The sequence below is a fragment of the Homo sapiens genome, chromosome 13 (assembly GCF_000001405.40).
Source record: "Homo sapiens chromosome 13, GRCh38.p14 Primary Assembly".
Lineage (NCBI taxonomy): Eukaryota > Metazoa > Chordata > Mammalia > Primates > Hominidae > Homo > Homo sapiens.
Genome location: NC_000013.11, coordinates 24,905,258 through 24,924,430, shown reverse-complemented (window position 1 = coordinate 24,924,430; position 19,173 = coordinate 24,905,258). Strand labels below are relative to the sequence as shown.

At 40.8% G+C, this 19,173-nt stretch overlaps 1 protein-coding gene across 11 annotated transcripts in view, besides 3 other annotated features; it reads left to right on the top strand.

Moving 5' to 3' along the window:
• The window catches only part of CPAP (centrosome assembly and centriole elongation protein), a 51,722-nt gene that overhangs the window by 9,570 nt on the left and 22,979 nt on the right, over window positions 1-19,173 (top strand). For 10 of the 11 annotated variants that reach the window (NR_047595.2, NR_047594.2, XR_941627.2 and 7 more), the window contains exons 1-7: window positions 1,570-1,670; window positions 11,340-11,849; window positions 12,362-12,485; window positions 14,345-14,641; window positions 16,305-16,413; window positions 17,238-17,340; window positions 17,471-19,085. Coding sequence is in view for 7 of the 11 variants with exons in the window: in NM_018451.5 (NP_060921.3) it covers window positions 11,406-11,849; window positions 12,362-12,485; window positions 14,345-14,641; window positions 16,305-16,413; window positions 17,238-17,340; window positions 17,471-19,085 (2,692 nt within the window). In the remaining 4 variants the exon portion in view is untranslated. Of the gene's footprint in view, window positions 1-1,569; window positions 1,671-11,339; window positions 11,850-12,361; window positions 12,486-14,344; window positions 14,642-16,304; window positions 16,414-17,237; window positions 17,341-17,470; window positions 19,086-19,173 lie in introns of those variants that run through there. The other variant, XM_047430483.1, reaches the window with a different exon arrangement.
• Window positions 623-1,524: an enhancer, noted in NCBI's record as "NANOG-H3K27ac-H3K4me1 hESC enhancer chr13:25497045-25497946 (GRCh37/hg19 assembly coordinates)". NCBI's record gives its function as "activates a minimal SCP1, AML or CMV promoter by ChIP-STARR-seq in primed H9 embryonic stem cells {active_cell/tissue: H9 hESC(primed)}" and the evidence as "EXISTENCE:reporter gene assay evidence [ECO:0000049][PMID:30033119]".
• Window positions 1,525-2,426: an enhancer, noted in NCBI's record as "NANOG-H3K27ac-H3K4me1 hESC enhancer chr13:25496143-25497044 (GRCh37/hg19 assembly coordinates)". NCBI's record gives its function as "activates a minimal SCP1, AML or CMV promoter by ChIP-STARR-seq in naive H9 embryonic stem cells {active_cell/tissue: H9 hESC(naive)}" and the evidence as "EXISTENCE:reporter gene assay evidence [ECO:0000049][PMID:30033119]".
• Window positions 12,486-13,685: an enhancer, noted in NCBI's record as "MED14-independent group 3 enhancer chr13:25484884-25486083 (GRCh37/hg19 assembly coordinates)". NCBI's record gives its function as "activates an origin of replication core promoter dependent on BRD2, BRD4, P300/CBP and CDK7 cofactors, and independent of MED14, by STARR-seq in HCT116 cells {active_cell/tissue: HCT116}" and the evidence as "EXISTENCE:reporter gene assay evidence [ECO:0000049][PMID:35650434]".

Here is a 19,173-nt window from a genome sequence, read left to right as displayed (position 1 = left end):
GGTAAAAGATTCATTTATTTATTCAATCAACAAACAATGTGGCACTACATACTATATTAAAATAAAAACATACGAATAAAATATAGGCACAAAAATAGAGGATATTGCGACTATCCTTAAAGATACACATTTTAGGAAGAATGATGAGACTTTTGGGCATGCTTTCAAGCCAAAGGGCTATCATAAATGAAAAGGAAGATTGTTTGGGTCCTTGTCTGGCATCTTAAGTAGCTGTGTGATCTCGGAAGTCTCGGGCTTTAGCTTCCTCACCCACAGTGAAAATTAAAAAGAAAAATTGGGCCGGGCGCGGTGGCTCACGCCTGTAATTCCAGCACTTTGGGAGGCCGAGGCGGGCGGATCACGAGGTCAGAAGATCAAGACCATCCTGGCTAACACGGTGAAACCCCTTCTCTACTAAAAATAAAAATAAAAAAATTAGCCAGGCGTGGTGGCGGGCGCCTGTAATCCCAGCTACTCGGGAGGCTGAGGCAGGAGAATGGCGTGAACCCGGCAGGCAGAGCTTGCAGTGAGCGGAGATCGCGCCATTGTACTCCAGCCTGGGCAACAGAGCGAGACTCCATCTCAAAAAATAAAAATTAAAAAAAGAAAAGAAAAATTGAAAAAAGAAGCAAAACCGAAATCTTGATTTAGAGAAGTAGACTCTTTTTGAAGTAGAAAGCAAAACAAATTTTGGAGGACCAAATTTCTGTGAAATAGTTTTGTCTTTAGCAGTCGTTTGTTTCAGTTATAACGGTTATAAATGGCACTTCATTTGATTTCTTTAAACATTTTACTTGGCCTGCTGTTTAATCAGACATGGAAGCCAGGTATGTAGTACTGTGGTAACTCACGGTGCTGTAACTTCCTAGATTAAAGGGCCGTGGCAGTTAAAACGAAACAAAACAAAAAAATTTCTTGAATTCTGCACTGTCAGTATTCAAACTAGTTTCAGAATCTAATGGACACACTCTGCCAAACCACCGATTAGCCATTTGAGGAGAGATGAAAGATGCCTATTTTTGGAGTGAATTCTCATAGGGTTATTTTCGTCTTACGAAATGGTGTAGCGGACTGCCCTTTTTCTCCTTTACTAAGTCACCTCAGCCAAAGCGGAAAACAAAGAAAAAAACCAAACCAAACCAAAAAAACGACAAAATAGACCGTACGCAAATAGAAAAAAAAAAAACAAAACCCAAAACACCTCCTTTAAGCGTCGGTTGGGCTCTATGTTAGCTTTGACTCTCCGTGCTCCCTGCTTTGCTGGGAACACGGAGATCCATCGCTCCGTTAGGCGTTCCCTTTAGTTTTCTAAGTGTGGGAGCCTGGGGCGACGTCCACCACGGAAGGTCTCTCCCGGAAACGGTTTTCCGCCCCGCCACGCCGCCCGCCTACGTCGACCACTGGCCCGCTGCTGGTCGGAAGGCGGCGCGCAGTCCATCCCCCGCCGGGCAACGCCCGTCGCTGTGGCGTCACTGGGAGTTGTAGTTTCACTGGGCTCAGCGGTGCCTGCGCTTTAGCGCAGACGCGCGGGTGAGATCCTCACTTCCCACAGGACCTCGGGACGGGGGCGGGGCTCCGACAGAGGCGGCGATTGTGGCGGCCCATTTGTAAATGCTGCGGAGATTGAGGTGTCGGTTCGTGCTGCTGAGCTGCCCAGGCTTCACGGAGCGGTAATTTGTGGGCGAAAAGAGCGGAGGAGCTCTTTGTCCGCCGCCCTGCGCCGGAGATGGACGGCGGTGGGCGGGCAGGACTCTGCTCGGACCTCGGGGTTGGCTCGGCGGGGCGAGGAGGGAGCGGGGCGCCGGGACGCGCTCAGGCCCACGGGCGCGCTGAGGCCCACGGCAGTTCAGTGGCTTCGTTCATTCGCGCTGCTTTGTTCTTCGCAGAGCTGGGGAAGCCGGCCTCTCTGGGGTGTCTGTCTCTCTGACCTGGCTGTGGCGGAACTTGAGTTCCTGTGGGCAGCGCGGCAGCCGCAGTCCGCTGGAGCAGGGTGGTGAAGTAGCGTTGCTGGCTGTCCTAAGGGCCGGTCTTGCCCCAGCTTTGTCAAGGGCTTCTCTCTTGAAGCTTCGTGTGGATTCATGGCTTTCAAGAACGTGTTGTATTTTAGGGGACTGCTAAATCACTTCCCAGACCAACTAGTTACTTCTCACGGTCTAAGAGTGGCTTTGAATTTGCTGTTTGTATCCACTCTCCTCCCTCACCGTGCAGAGAATTTATCTTTTTTTCAATACTGCTTTAAAGAATGTTTACATAGCACTTTCTGGAGATTTCAAGGCTGTCAGTTTGTTACATTTTTTAAAAGTTTTATTGAGGTATAATTGCTATACAATAAAAATGGCACATGTTTAAATGCATTCCATTTGATGAGTTTGACATACACGTGCACCCGTGTCCTTCAGATTTTGATATCTGTAAAGTCTGAGTCCACATACTAATCCTATCTCGGCATATATATTATCAATGCTCCCTTTACCAAGACCTCAGTATCAATAATAAGTAGCAGGTTCTGGTGACGCTTTTTTTATACTTCATGCTGACATTAAATATATTTTTAGAATCGCGGTCATGAAATTGAAGGTATAGAAGGTGTGTTTGGTGGGGAGTTGGAGGAGGAGATGCAAAAGTCTGGCTGCTGCATCCCAAGACTGCTTGCACTTGTCAGTCTAGTAGGGAATTTTTCTAGTTTTCCATATTATGAAATGACCTTGTAGTTTGTCTCCCTTCTGAATTTGGATTTCGAAAGATTTTCTGCTAAGGTCATTGAAATTAAGCAAAGTTACGTGGTTGATTTTGAAAAAAAAAAAGTCATTACTTTTTTAGATTGGTTTCCTACTGAAAAACAATTTGCTTAGAAAAAGTTTTTACAAATTATTCAGGAATAACAGATATCCAGTAAAGTGCGCTAATCTTAAGTGTACAGCCTAAGTGTATCCACCCCCTGTATTAACCTTCCCAGTTGTTGAAGTCAAAAATTTGGAGATGAATCTCTTAAGTTTAACGTTTTATTTGGGAAGAAAGAATGGCGGTTCCAGGCGTACAGACCAGGTGGTCTTCAGTATGTCCAAAGAACAAAGAGAAAGCTGGAGGTTTTATAAAAAAGAGAATTGTTATATCTGTCGCTCTTCGAGAAAGTTCATTGGTTCTCCTAAGGTTCTGGGGAGGCAGCAGGTCCTACCGAGTGGGCCATGGTGGAGGGCAAAATTAGTCCTACAATTGCAGCAAGTTACCTCAGCATCTATAGATCAAATTGGTCTCGGGTTACAACCGGCAGTTTCAGCATACTGACTTATAGAGAATTCCATTCTTGGAGCAAAGTTGTGTGTCCTGAGTGCCTTTCCCTCTTGACTTCTTGATTGTTTAGTTGGCTATAAGAATGACTCAATTTGTATGATCAACTTTCACACAGACAGGACAACTCCCATTTTCCTGGATAACGACCAATATGCCATTTATAACTATGGGTTTATTTTGCCTGTTCTTCAGCTTCATATACATGGAAACATGGGCCAGGTGCGGTGGCTCATGCCTGTAATCCCAGCATTTTGGGAGGCTAAGCCAGGTGGATCACTTGAGGTCAGGAGTTTGAGAACAACCTGACTAACATAGTGAAACCCCGTCTCTACTAAAAATACAAAAAAAAAAAAAAGCCAGGTATGGTGGTGCATGCTTGTAGTCCCAGCTACTCTGGAGGCTGAGGTGGGTGAATCGCTTGAACCCGGGAGGCTGAGGTTGCAGTGAGCCAAGATCACACCACTGCACTCTAGCCTGGGCAACAGAGTGAGACTCCATCTCAAAAAAAAAAAAAAAAAAAGGAATCATATTTGTCTGATGTTCACACATCATTATTTATTTTTGTTACTGCCTGTGGCAGCAATTTTTGTTTTTTTAAATGCCTGAATAGCTGTGGTTCTCAAAGTGTGATACAGTGAGAAAATGTACATCACATTGGCATTTTTGTTTTTGGTTATTAAATGGTTGGCAGGCAATCATCTTGTTCCAAGAAAATCTTCAGTTGCAATTAATGGTACAGTAAGCCTTTATACAACTCTTCTACAACTCAACCAGGGAGCGATGGCAAAAACACAGTATCATTATGTTCACTGTCTTCTATGTCTTTTAACAGTTCTATAAACTGGCAGTTGATAGCATTTGTACATACTGAACAATTGTAACAACTATATTCATGATACTATTCGTGGATTATGCTTCAGAAAACCAAACACAAGAATTTTCAATGTGTATTATACAGGGGAATGAATCAGCGAGGGAAACAGCAGTCTCTTGTTGTAAAATCCCATTAAATTCAGATTTTTTGCCTTATAGAATGACACCATCTGTCATGATAGAAACTGATTTTTAGGCTGGGCGCAGTGACTCACACCTGTAATACCAGCACTTTGGGAGGCCGAAGCAGGAGGATGGCTTGAGCCTAGGAGTTCAAGATCAGCCTGGGCAACATAGGGACACCCTGTTTCTACAAAAAAATTAAAAAATAAAAAATAAGCTGGGCATGGTGACACATACCTGTAGGCCCAGCTACTCTGGAGGCTGAGATGGGAGGATCACCTAAGCACTGGAGGTTGAAGCTGCCGTGAGCCGTGATTGTGCCAATGCACTTCAGCCTGGGTGACATTGTGAGACCCTGTCTCAGAAAAAAAGAAAAAAAGTAATGTTTTCATATCTAGCTAAAATTCTTCTGTCAGACATAAAATACTGGGCGCAGGGGCTCACGCCTGTAATCCCAGCACTTTGGGAAGCCAAGGTGGGAGAATGGCTTGAGCCCAGGAGTTTGAGACCAGCATGGGCAACACAGGGGGACCACTCTTTACAAAAAATTAAAAGATGAGCTGGGTGTTGTGGTATATGCCTATGGTCCTGGCTACTCCGGAGGCTTGAGGTGGGAGGATCACTGGGGCCTGGGTGGTAGAGGCTCCACTGAGCCGTGATCATGCCACTGCACTCCAGCCTGGGTGACAGTGAGACCCTGTCTCAAGGAAAAAAAAAAAGATTAAAAAATATCCATGTCACAGGTTCAGTATCAGGCTTTGAATTGATATCATCTCTTTGTAAATTTAGATAATCTGTGAGATAAAACACACCTAAATTGGTGATTGGTCAGTCTCTCATTGCATTACTCAGATAAAGCTAAAGACAAGTGCTTGTAATTTTTTATGGCTTTGAACCTGGATGGTAATAGAAGGGTCTATGGACAATTGTTTGGTCACTTCGTTGAAAATTTTTCACTTTTTAGAAAATATCTTTAACCTTTTAATTAAAATATCTTTTTAAATCTCACAGTGTTCTAACAAAATTTCCTCAACTCAGATAACCTATTTACCTCCTCTTCATCTGAAAATAATTTTCTTTTTTCTTTTCATTTCTATCTCTTTCTCTCCCCTCACCCTCCTTCTTTCCAGGCTTTTTTATAACTGGCCAAAGTTAAAAGGTCAGATTCTGTTCAAAATCATAAAACTTTTTTTTTGTTGGCTATTTAGTTCTGACACAGGTGACTAATTACAGTTGACTCTCGAACAACATGAGTTTCAACTTTGTGGGTTCGCTTATGCTTGGATTTTCTTCCACTTCTGTCACCCTCGAGACAGCAAAACCAACCCTTTCTCTTCCTAAGCCTAGTCCAATGTGAGGACTAGTGACACAAAGACCTTTACTATCCATTAAGTGGAAGTGGATCATCATAAAGGTCTCCCTGCATATCTTTCATATGTTTATGTTTTTTAGACACAAAACATAAATGAAGTCTGAATACCTTTATGATGATTCATTTCCACTTAACCAATAGTAAATATGTATATTTTTTATTATTTTCTTAACTTTTCTTCTCTAGCTTACACTATTGTAAAAATACCATATATAATACACATAACATACAAAATATGTGTTAACTGTTATTGATAAGGCCTCCAGTCAACAGTAGGCTATTAGCAGTTAAGTTTTGGAGAAGTCAAAGTTACACTTAGATTTTCGGTTGCATGGGGAGTTGGTCCCCCTAACCCTTACTGTGTTGTTCAAGGGTCAACTGCATATCAATTTGTTTTTTTATTATTGAGAATAAACTTATAAAAAATTGCTGTGTTTTTGCTGAAAATGTCTCAATATTAGTTATCTTAAAATTTTTTAAAACTTTTTCTGTTCGCTTTGCCACAGCAAATTGTGGTTGCCATTTGATGTGAAACTTGTGAGGTGCCTCCTTCCAGTCTTTTTTCCTTCACTGTTCTGGTCATAGTACTAGCTTCTGCATCTCCACTTGAGTCTTCCATAGTGTAGCTTTGTTTTAAATTTTAAAAATTGTTCATACATCTTTTTCAAACTAGAAAAATATGCCATAATTAAAATACTAAACATTTCAACTTAATTCCTGCTATGGCTTGACTGTCCGCTCCAAAACTCCTGTTGGAAACTTAATTCCCAATGCAACAGTGTTGAGCGGTGAGAAATTTAAGAGGTGATTAGGTCATGAGGGCTCCACCCTAATGAATGGATTAATGCTGTTATCTCAGAAGTGGGTTACTGATTTCAGGGGTGGCTTTGTTATAAAAGAGAGCCTCTCTCTCACAGGCTGTTTTGCCTTTCTACTCTTCCCCCATGGGACAACACTTGCCAGTTGCCAATGCCATGCTCTTGTTTTTCCCAGCTCCAGAACTGTGAGAAATAAATTTCTTTATAAATTACCTAGTCTCTTCTCTGGTATTCTTTATAGCAGCAGAAAATGGACCAAGATAATTACCAATTACAATTTAAATAGATCACTGTAACTTGTACTGTTTTCATAAACTATTCAGATAGACACATAACAGTGTTATATCCATGTGTTGAAAAAAATTATTCAAACAGAATCAGTCCATTGACACTGATGAGATTGCAGACATGTTTCTTTGCAATCTGGGGGGTGATGCACACTGACATGGGCTTCAGTACAGCAGCATCTTATGCCATGCAGTGGTTAAAGTGAAATGCAGTCCTACCGAGAGAATAAAAGTGTTTAAGAGAAAAATATTTTGTACTTATTCACTTTTTAAATTTAATTAACTTTAATTAAAGTGGAAAATTCAGTTCTTCAGTCACATTAGCCACATTTCAAGTGCTCAGTAGCCATGTGACTATATGGTTGCCATACTAAATGCATAGGTCCATGTAATTGTAATTTATTTATTTATTTTTGAGACAGAGTGGCTCTGTCCCCCAGGCAGGAGTGCAGTGGCGCGATCTCGGCTCACTGCAAGATCTGCTGCCTCCCAGGTTCACGCCATCCTTCTGCCTCAGCCTCCCCGAGTAGCTGGGACTACAGGTGCCCGCCACCACCCCCGGCTAATTTTTTGTATTTTTAGTAGAGACGGGGTTTCACTGTGTTAGCCAGGATGGTCTCGATCTCCTGACCTCGTGATCCTCCCGTCTTGGTCTCCCAAAGTGCTGGGATTATAGGCGTGAGCTACCGCACCGGGCCGTAAATGTATTTTTTTGTCTTTATTTCTGATAATACACACTACTGTGCACTTGGTCTTTGTAACTAGCAACATATCTTGGATATATTCACTACTTCCATATCAGTAAAGAGCTTACTTGTTCTTTTTAACAGTTGCATAATATGATTACCATGATTAGCTGATCTCCTGTTAATGGACATTTACTTTCAGTTTATTGCAAATGTGAGTTTATGCCAGTATAACTGTGGGACAAAATGCCTAGATGTGAAATTGTTGAGTCAAAGTTCCTCTGCATTTACAGTTGGCTGAATGTTGTCATATTGTCCTTCAAAATGTTGTACCAGTTTATTTGCTCAGTAAGTACTTCACAAAAGAGTTTCTTCAAGTTGAATGGTGAAAAACAAACAAAAGCAAAAAAGAGTTTCTGTTTTTCCTACTGGGTATTACTAGTTTTTAGTTTTTGCCAACCCAGGGTGGGAAAAAAATGGTAATGTTACTGTTTTCATTTCCATCTCTTCAGTGGAGTGAGAATGCGCATGTTTTAATGTTTTGGCATCTGTATTTCTTTTTCTGTTTATATTTTTTATATGTTTATGTTTTTTAGACACCGAGTATGAAATGACATACGTGTTTGCCTCCACATTGCCCTTTTTCATTTTCCTTTGATTATATATATATTTTGCTGTATTATATTGATAAAGTCTAGAATTGTGTCTGGAAAGTAGTGTGAGATGTTATTCCACTTCAGTACTAGACTCTTCCCATCTCCTCAAGAACATGACTGTAGCAATTCTCCCCTTTCTCCATCCTCATCAGCCTGCACAAACATGCTTTTATTTCTCCTATTGTAAAAAATACTCCTCTTCACCTTGCTTTTCTATGTAATTCCTTCCCTTTATAACAGAACTCCTGGTGTTAGCTGTGCCTACTGCCTTCAATTTCTTATTCTGTCATGCATCCTCTCCACTCAAGGTTTTGCTGTCCCTGCCCTCAGCTACTCTCATTGAAGTTCTCATGACCTTTGCTTTGCCAAATTCAGAGGTCAGTTCTCAGTTCTCCTTACCCTTCATCTGTTTCACAGCATTTAACATAGCTCTTTCCTCCTCGAAACACTTTCATCACTTAGCCTCAAGGACGCTACACTTTTTGCCTCTTATCTGTTTTTGTTGTTGTTGTTGTTGTTGTTTTCGAGATGGAGTCTTGCACTTGTTGCCCAGGCTGGAGTGCAATAACGCTATCTCGGCTCACTGCAACCCCCGCCTCCTGGGTTCAAGCAATTCTCCTGTCTCCTGAGTAGCTGGGATTACAGGCTCCCGCCACCACACCTAGCTAATTTTTTGTATTTTTAGTAGAGATGGGGTTTCACCATGTTGGCCAGACTGGTCTCGAACTCCTGACCTTAGGTGATCCACCCGCCTCGGCCTCCCAAAGTGCTGGGATTACAGGCGTGAGCCACTGCGCCCAGCCGCCTCCTCTCTTTTTGACTACCCTCAATCCCTCATTGATCTCATCCAGTGTCAAGGCTTTAAATACCATCTTTATGCTGAGGATGTCCAAATTTATGCTTCACAGCCTTGGCCTCTTCGGTGAGTTCCATTCTAGTGCACCCAGCTGCTGACCCAGTGTCTCTATGTGCATATTTCATAGGCATCTTAAAATGTCCTGAATTCAACTCTTGGTCTCTGATTCCCCAAAACCTGTTTCAATCCTCCATCTTCCGCATTTCAGTGAATGGCAAATCTGTTCTTCCAGGTGCTCAGCCAGGAAATTTTAAGAAATGAGGGAGAAGATCCTATTGATCTCTGGAGGTTGGTAGACAATAAAGGAGGGGCAGTAGATTGTATAGTTTGGTCATATGAGAGTCAGAATTGCTTTTTATTAATTTATTATTAATTAATTAATTAATTATTTTTTGAGAGAGAGTCTCACTCAGTTGCCTAGGCTGGAGTGCAGTGGTGTGATCTTGGCTCACTGCAGCCTTTGCCTCCCAGGTTCAGGCGATTCTCCCGCCTCAGCCTCCTGAGTAGCTGGGATTACAGGCGTGCACCCTGACGCCTGGCTAATTTTTTTATATTTTTATTAGAAACGGGGTTTCACCATCTTGGCCAGGCTGGTCTCGAACTCCTAACTTCAAGTGATCTGGCTGCCTTGGCCTCCCAAAATGCTGGGATTATGGCGTGAGTTACCACACCCGACTTATTTATTTATTTTTTGAGACAGGGTTTTGTTCTGTTGCCCAGGCTGGAGTTCAGTGACACAATCACGGCTTACAGCAGCCTCGACCTCCTGGGCTCAAGCAATCCTGCCACCTCAGAACTCCCAAGTAAAATTGCTTTTTATGGTCTAGAAAAGGAGTGTGTAGTCTGGAAGGAGCAAAAGAATAAGAATATATGTTTTGTCTCCAGGCTCAGTGATACTGGAGTATGGGCTCCATACAAACAGATGTTCTCAGGAAGGTGAGGGAGTCCTCAGAGAAGAGGTTGAGGATAATGGGGATTTTGCTGATGATGGACTGTTAGTGTTTTGGGGCTCGGATGTTTGGGAGATGGAACAGAATAAGGTGTAGGGATTACTGTGTAAGAAGTGAAGCCTGGCTCTGGATCTCAGGGCTTCCTGTGGTGAGTGATATAATAGGTTTAAATAGGTAGGTAATGGTGATGGGGTTTGAGAACTGGGGGTTTCTGGAGGAATGGGATGTCAGTGGGAGTGTCTTGCAGATGAAGGTTAGGAAGGCTGGGTGGCTGGGTCTTTACTTACCCTGCCCCTGATAGCTGCACAACTTGTACCTTCTCCATCCCTTGGTCCTTAATTTTACCTTCTAAATGAGGATGCTGTCCACCTTGTCTAAAGTTACAACCTCCTTTTCCCACGTGGCTTTTATTTTTCCCCTTTGCACTTATTGCTATTTAACATACTGTATAATGTGTGTGTGCGTGTGTGTGTGTGTCTTCCCCACTAGACTGTGATTTATGAACTGCTATGTACCCAGGGGCAAAAACAATATCTGGCACAGAGTAAGAACCCAATAAATGTTAGTTGAGTAAAATCAGACACAGACAGAGGCAAGGCTTATCTTCTCTGTTATGTCCTGTTTAAGTATATCTATCACACAGTGCAAAGTTACAGTAGGAATTTGGTTAATTTTAAAGTCTGATAATTCATACAGAGTTATGGCATGAGCCAATGTAATTTTCATTGGCTTATGCCATAAGAATTACATTTCTCCTACCTGCCAGACATGGTGCTTGGCAGTAGTGAATATATAGATATCTTCAAGGAACTTCACGGATTAGTAATGAACATGAAAGCAAAATGCCACTAATAATGAGATGAGTGCTAGAAGAGTGATGTCACTATTTTACCTCTAGGAATACAGATGAGGGGCTATCTGGTGGGTGAGGTGTTAGTAGGGAGACGAGAGAGGAAGGGACAGGTGAAACTGCCAGGTAAAGCCAGGAGTGCTGGTGTTGACTTTTGTGCTAGAACTAGGGAGAAAACAGGTTCACCAACTGGGCAAAGAAGCAATGTTAAACTAGGGCCAGAAGCAAGAAAGTGCTTAGTGTGGGTAATATCTGATAGTGGCTTTTTTTTTTTAAGTGAATAACTTAAAAGGTATTTTATCTTCCATTGTTTAGTTCAGCTAATCTAGCACTTGTATAAAATCATTAGTAATTGAATGGTTAAGTCAAGAAGGATCTTACGTTTTTGATCTACTCAATTTGGTTATTTTTAAGACTTAGAAAAATGTAGCTCAATGCCCAATTGCTTTGCTAGTTAAGGTCTTTTGTATATGAAATATTGAGGACATTTTTATGCTGGGTTGAGGTTTGGGCTCATTTTTGGTAGGACATCTAATGGCTTTACCTAATACATTTTGTTGGCTATTTTTGTCTACAGGTGTTGGAAATCAATAGCTCTTCTAGCCTTTGCATTGTTTAAATATAATAGTGTCATTGGACTAAGATGTTCCTGATGCCAACCTCTTCAGAGTTAAACAGTGGGCAGAACTTCCTAACCCAGTGGATGACCAATCCTTCTCGGGCTGGGGTCATATTAAATCGTGGATTTCCTATTTTGGAAGCAGACAAAGAGAAGCGAGCAGCTGTGGACATTTCTACCAGCTTTCCTATTAAAGGCACACATTTTTCTGATAGCTTCAGCTTTATAAATGAAGAAGATTCACTTCTTGAAGAACAGAAGTTGGAGTCAAACAACCCTTACAAACCACAGTCAGATAAATCTGAAACCCATACAGCCTTTCCTTGCATTAAAAAGGGACCACAGGTAGCGGCATGTCACAGTGCTCCTGGACACCAGGAAGAAAACAAAAATGACTTCATCCCAGATCTTGCGAGTGAATTCAAAGAAGGGGCTTATAAAGACCCACTTTTTAAAAAACTTGAACAGGTACAATAGGATTTGGCCTACTGTGAATTTATGTCATTGCAGGTTTCTGTTTATGTAATAAAGTCATTTGTTCTAGGTCTTCTTGTTTTTTCCCCTTCACTCTGAAATCCTCAGAATACCAGATTTTGCCCTTTGTCTAATGTGAAACATTTAAGTGTGTTTAATTAGCACTTATAATAACTTTAAGTTGTTACCTCATTTGGCGAAAAGTAAGAAATGGTTGATCAAGTATTAGGGGAAAAAATTGGATGATGTACTGATGCCCATCCTATTTTAACAATCAAAGGATTTATATGACTGTTTCGGTTTCTTAGTTGAGATAGTTGATAAGATTTCCTTCGTAAGGATATGAGTTTTAGATTTTCGGTGGCTGATTTAGTTACCTAGGGGTCCCTGTCTAAAACTTCTTACCAGGAAAGATAGGAGGAGGGAGATGGGAGGAATTAAGGGAACGAGGTGTCCATGAAGAATTGTAAAGTTGATTTAATAAAGTTAATTTTGTATTTAAAAAGCTGAAAGAAGTACAACAGAAGAAGCAGGAACAATTGAAGAGGCAACAGTTGGAGCAACTACAGAGACTCATGGAAGAACAAGAGAAGCTGCTCACCATGGTGTCTGGGCAGTGCACACTTCCAGGTATGCTTTGCCTACACAGGGCCTCAGTATAATGCACATTTCTTACCTGTAGTTGTTTGACACGTTATTTCTATCGTTCCTGTATCATGTGTTGTGAACTCCAGTTTCTTTAAAGGCTAGCCCGATAAATGTGAAATGGTAGAGTTGTAATACAACTGGAACAAGAAGGAGCTGCCGCATTCTGGTGTGCGCATGCCCTGCTTTAAGGCATTGATGTTTATTCATTAAAAAAAAAAAAAAAATGAGCTGGGTGTGGTGGTCCATGCCTGCAGTCCTAGCTACTCTGGAGACTGAGGTGGGAGGATTGCTTGAGCCCAGGAATTTGAGGCTGCAGCAGTGAGCTATAATGGCACCACTGCATTCCAGCCGGGCAACAGAGTGAGACCCTGTCCCCCCAAAAAAGGTCCAATAGAAGAAAAGTCAGATTTGGCCTAGAGCTGCTGCTGGTATCCAACCCCTGCCTGATGAATGAAAACTGTTGGGTGTCATGAAGGTAAATACATGTAGGAGCCACTCTGTTCAGCTGAAGAACCATACCAAAGATATTTTCTGTGGTAGGAGATGACAGTATTCTGTTGTGTGACCCATCAGTTAACGGAAAGCGTCACGTGCCAATCAGGAAAGAAAACTGGAAATGTGACCTGGAGCAGTGGTTTGAAAGTTTCTTGACCACACTCTGTAGTAGTAAAAATGTTTAAAATCGTGACTCATAATGACAAAGCAATTTCATGTCATCAGTCCTTATTGGTGTTCCTGGCATGTAGTGAGGACATTTTCTGTCTTGTTTATTCTAGTTCTATATCATTTTAAAAAATGCTACATCCGATAATAAAATTATTATAGATTGTGTCCCATAGTTTGAAAAAAACTGAGGTTGGAGCCATGTGTTTGCTTCTTTTAAGAAATATACTTTACTGACCCAGGAAAGCACCTGTTCTGCTCAGAGATTATGCTGGGCATTGAGAATACAAGGAAAAAAAGACTTGGCAAGTGAGTGAGGCTGGGTGCAGGGGTCAGGTGGGGTGTGGTCATGAGAAATTGTAGCACATAAACAATGGTTTAGGGAATTTGGATGTTTATCTTAGAGAATATAGAAAACATTTGTGTGCCTTAAAATAGTTGAATGGCTTAGGGTTTCTTTATGGAATACATACAAAGAATAATCAAGATCACTTAAATAACAGCTGTGATACTTTTAAAGGTAGAACCGCACTATGACAGAATGACAGGGAAGCTGATTTCAAAGTTATTTACATAAGAACTAGCCTCATGCAGTCATGGAGCAGTTTGCTTTGGAGCAGTAGTTTTCAAATATTTTGGTCTCAGGATCCCTTAGGATTCTTAAATATTTGAGAGCCCCAAAGAACTTTTGTTATATGGGCTGTATTTACCAATAACTTACTGCATTAGAAATTTAAACAGGCTAGACATAGTGGCTCACACCTGTAATCCCAGTACTTTGGGAGGCCAAGGCCGGCAGATCACCTGAGGTCCGGAGTTCAAGACCAGCCTGGCCAACATGGTGAAACCCTATCTGTTCTAAAAATATAAAAAATTAGCTGGGCGTGGTGGCACACGCCTGTAATCCCAGCTACTCAGGAGGCTGAGGCACGAGAATCACTTGAACCCAAGAGGTGGAGGTTGCAGTGAGCTGAGATCGCACCACTGCACTTCAGCCTTGGCGACAGAGCGAGACTGTCTCAAACAATCAATGGTTTTGTTAAACACCATTTCCTAATAAAGGGAAAAAATACTGTTGTCACTGTGGAGAAGTCTTTGTGGGGTGGGGGTCACTACTGGGGATAAAAGAGAAAATGTTGAAGGAAGTCATCAGCTTTGTTGCATTTCTTAATTGTAAGGTTTGAGTTTACTGCCTGATGATCAGAGCCAGAAGCACAGGTCTCCAGGAAATACCACCACTGGAGAGAGAGCCACATGCTGCTTCCCATCATATGTCTACCCGGACCCAACCCAGGAAGAAACATACCCGTCCAACATTTTATCCCATGAGCAAAGCAACTTCTGTAGAACTGCTCATGGAGATTTTGTCTTAACTTCAAAACGTGCGTCTCCTAATTTATTTTCTGAGGCACAGTATCAAGAAGCACCTGTGGAAAAAAATAATTTAAAAGAAGAAAACCGTAACCATCCTACAGGTGAGCTACTTATGTTTCTCTCTTCTGTGCTTATAGTGTTACTAAGTTGTCCTAAGATGAAGCCTTTCCATGTTTTTTCTTTAAAAATTATTTTTTCAGAGATGGAGTGTTGCCGTGTTGCTCAGGCTGGACTCAATCTCCTGGGCACAAGTAATCTTCCCCCATCAGCCTCTCAGGTAGCTGGGACTATAGGCACGTGCTACCCTGCCAGCTCTTTCTGTATGGTTATTTTTTTTTGTCCCCTGTGGCGTGTTTTTTTTTTTTGAGACAGTCTCGCTCTGTCACCCAGGCTGGAGAGCAGTGGCACAATCTCAGCTCACTGCAACCTCTGCCTCTCGGGTTCAAGTGATTCTTGTGTCTCAGCCTCCCAAGTAGCTGGGATTACAGGTATGTGCCACCATGCCCAGATAATTTTGTGTATTTTTAGTAGAGATGGGGTTTCAACATGTTGGCCAGGCTAGTCTCAAACTCCTGGCCTCAAGTGATCTGCCTGCCTTGGCCTCCCAAAGTACTGGGATTGCAGATCTGAGCTACTGCACCCAACCATAATGCCTTGTTCCTAATTTAGAGTTAATTCATCGGTGTGGAAAGCTCAAATATGTTTTTCTTCTTTTTTATACAACATGTTTCCATAGCCTTTTATTTTGGAAAATTTCAAACATCTAGAAAAGTTGAAAGACCACTGCAGTTATTACTGATATACCCACCACCTAGATTGAGCAGTTAATATTTTGCTGTATTTACTTTGTCAGTGTATGTATGTGTATATATATCTTTTACATGTATATCCTTATCTTTACTTCTATATGTGTATAATTTGCTGAACCATTTCACTGAAAATAATATGCAGGTATCTTGTTACTTCATTCCAAATATTTCAGTATGCATCAAGCAAAAATTAGGACATTCATCTGTATAACCACAGTGCTATTATTGTATCTAAAGAAATTAATGATAATTCCTTAATATTCAAGTCCATTTTGGGATTCCCCCAGTTATCCCAAAATATCTTTTAAAGGTGCTTTTTTTTTAAAGGATCCAATCAAATTAATGCATATCCAGTCAAGTTCATGTATTACGTTTGATTCTTACAACTCTTTAGCCTTTTTAATCTCTAGAAAACCCCACACTTTTTTCCTCATGACATTAACCTTTTGAAGAATGTCAAGTGTCTTTATTTTATTTTATTTTATTTTTGAGACAGGGTCTTCCTCTGTCACTTAGGTTGGAGTCCAGTGGCACCATCTTGGCTTACTGCAACCTCTGCTTGCTCTCAGCCTCCCAGGTAGCTGGGATTACAGGCATGTGCCACCACGCCTGGCTAATTTTTTTTTTTTTTTTTTTTTTTTTTTTTGTAGAGACGGGGTTTCGCCACGTTGGCCAGGCTGGGCTCGAATTCCTGGCCTCAAGTGATTCTCCCGCCTTGGCCTCCCAAAGTGCTGGGATTACAGGTGTGAGCCACCACACCCGGCCTCAAGTGTCTTAATTGGAGTTTTGTAGTTTCTCTTAATTATATTAAAGAATTCCTTGAGTGTTGTAAAATCTGTGATATACATTACTTTTAATTAAAAAAATGTTTTAGCATAGTAACTTGTAGAATTCTCATGTTTTAAGACATTAATATGCTTTTCTTGAGCTAAATTGTTCTTAATTTTTATCTCAGGAGAAAGTATCTTATGTTGGGAGAAAGTGACAGAACAGATTCAGGAAGCAAATGATAAGAACTTACAAAAACATGATGATTCCTCAGAAGTGGCTAATATTGAAGAAAGGTATTGTTCGTGTTGAAAGTGAGAAATGTGACTATTTAGTACAATAGCTAGCCTTTATTATTGAACACTTTCTTTGTTTGAAAGATCTATATTTTTCTGGTTTTTGCTTGACTATGCTTTTAAGGTTAAAGATACAACCTATTATGTACTGTCAACAACAAAAGAGGTTGAGGAGATATGTCAAGCTGCCTTGACATTGTATTCTCGAAGCTTTTTCACTTAAGAGAAACATCTGGATAAAATCAATTTTCTCTCAAATAGTTAAATCCTATTTTTGGAGAAGGGAAAAATTAAGTATTGACATCTCCCATTTGGTGTCACTTATCAATTATAATTGCATTATCAGTTTAGTTACAGAATTTTAAAATATGGCAAAGATTAAGTATTTTATATTTTAAGTAAGTTGATTATTTTAAAAATTTATTTCAAAATTTTTAATATAATATGGACAAAATGACTTTTCTGATTATTGTTCTCACATTAAGGGCCTTTCTTAATTAAAAAAATGCATATTTAGTGATCTATTTTTGAAATACATTTTAAAGTTATTTGATGAATATGTTACTCCATGTGTTAATCTGTGGTCGATAGATGGACTTCAGAAGGGTTCTTAGGACTCCAAAGTCATGTGAAGAGTGTTGTATGTTTCTTTATTTTAAGGTGTGGAGAGGGATTGTGGCTTTTGTTAGGTTCTCAAAGGGAGGCACTGATTTTGGGAAAAGTTAGTTCTCCATGTTGTCAAGGGTTTCTATACCAGGCACACTAAGTGTAAAATATTCACACATTATGATTTGCATGTTAAATAACTTTCTGTTTCTAATTAGGCCCATTAAAGCTGCTATTGGAGAAAGGAAACAGACCTTTGAAGATTACTTAGAAGAACAAATTCAGTTGGAAGAGCAAGAACTGAAGCAAAAACAGCTGAAGGTCAGCAATTGTGCTCTTCTGATTAAATCATTCTAAGGCTTTAGAGATTTATCTATAATTTGCCTTAAAAATAACTTTGAGATCACTTGGATATACCAAAATTAATTCAAATATTATTCTTTTATTTTAGGAAGCAGAAGGACCATTGCCAATCAAAGCAAAACCAAAACAACCATTTTTAAAACGAGGAGAAGGTTTAGCTAGATTTACTAATGCCAAATCTAAGTTTCAAAAAGGCAAAGAAAGTAAACTAGTGACTAACCAGAGCACTTCCGAGGACCAGCCGCTGTTTAAAATGGATAGACAGCAACTCCAGCGGAAAACCGCTCTTAAAAATAAAGAGCTGTGTGCAGACAACCCTATCCTTAAAAAGGACAGTAAAGCTAGAACCAAGAGTGGTTCTGTCACCCTCAGTCAGAAGCCGAAAATGCTGAAGTGTAGTAACAGGAAAAGTCTTTCTCCGTCAGGATTGAAAATACAGACGGGGAAGAAATGTGATGGGCAGTTTAGAGACCAGATCAAATTTGAAAACAAAGTCACATCTAATAATAAAGAAAATGTAACTGAGTGTCCAAAACCTTGCGATACTGGCTGCACAGGGTGGAATAAGACACAAGGTAAAGACAGACTTCCTCTTTCAACAGGGCCGGCCAGCCGGCTGGCTGCTAAGAGCCCCATAAGGGAGACCATGAAAGAGTCTGAATCTTCTCTTGACGTTTCTCTTCAGAAAAAGTTAGAGACTTGGGAACGAGAAAAGGAAAAGGAAAATTTGGAATTAGATGAATTTTTGTTTTTAGAACAAGCTGCTGATGAAATATCATTTTCTAGTAATTCCTCATTTGTACTGAAAATCTTAGAAAGGGATCAACAGATCTGCAAAGGTCACCGGATGTCTTCCACCCCTGTCAAAGCTGTGCCACAGAAGACAAATCCGGCAGATCCCATTAGTCATTGTAACCGCAGTGAGGATTTGGACCACACTGCACGTGAGAAGGAGAGTGAGTGTGAAGTCGCACCCAAACAACTTCATTCATTGTCCTCAGCTGATGAATTGAGGGAACAGCCTTGTAAAATCAGGAAAGCCGTCCAAAAGAGCACTTCTGAAAATCAGACTGAATGGAATGCACGTGACGATGAAGGTGTTCCAAATAGTGACAGTAGCACTGACTCTGAGGAACAGCTTGATGTTACCATAAAACCATCGACTGAGGATAGAGAGAGGGGCATCAGCAGCAGAGAGGATAGCCCACAAGTCTGTGATGATAAGGGGCCTTTTAAGGACACCAGGACCCAAGAAGATAAAAGGAGAGATGTTGATCTGGATTTGTCTGATAAAGATTACAGTAGCGATGAGTCTATCATGGAAAGCATAAAACATAAAGTGTCTGAGCCCTCGAGATCCTCATCCCTAAGTCTGAGTAAAATGGACTTTGATGATGAAAGAACTTGGACTGACCTTGAAGAGAATTTGTGTAACCATGATGTTGTTCTTGGGAATGAATCCACTTATGGGACGCCGCAGACATGCTACCCTAATAATGAAATAGGTATCCTGGACAAAACAATAAAAAGGAAGATTGCACCAGTCAAGAGGGGAGAAGACTTGAGCAAGTCCAGGAGGAGCAGAAGTCCTCCTACATCGGAGCTGATGATGAAATTCTTTCCTTCTTTGAAACCAAAACCAAAGTCAGATTCACACTTGGGAAATGAACTCAAGTTAAACATAAGTCAAGACCAACCACCTGGTGAGTCAGAGCATTATAAAATATGTATCAGAATGTTAGAAATTTAACATTAATCAGTATGCTGTCAGAATGCTTAAAATCCTAACTT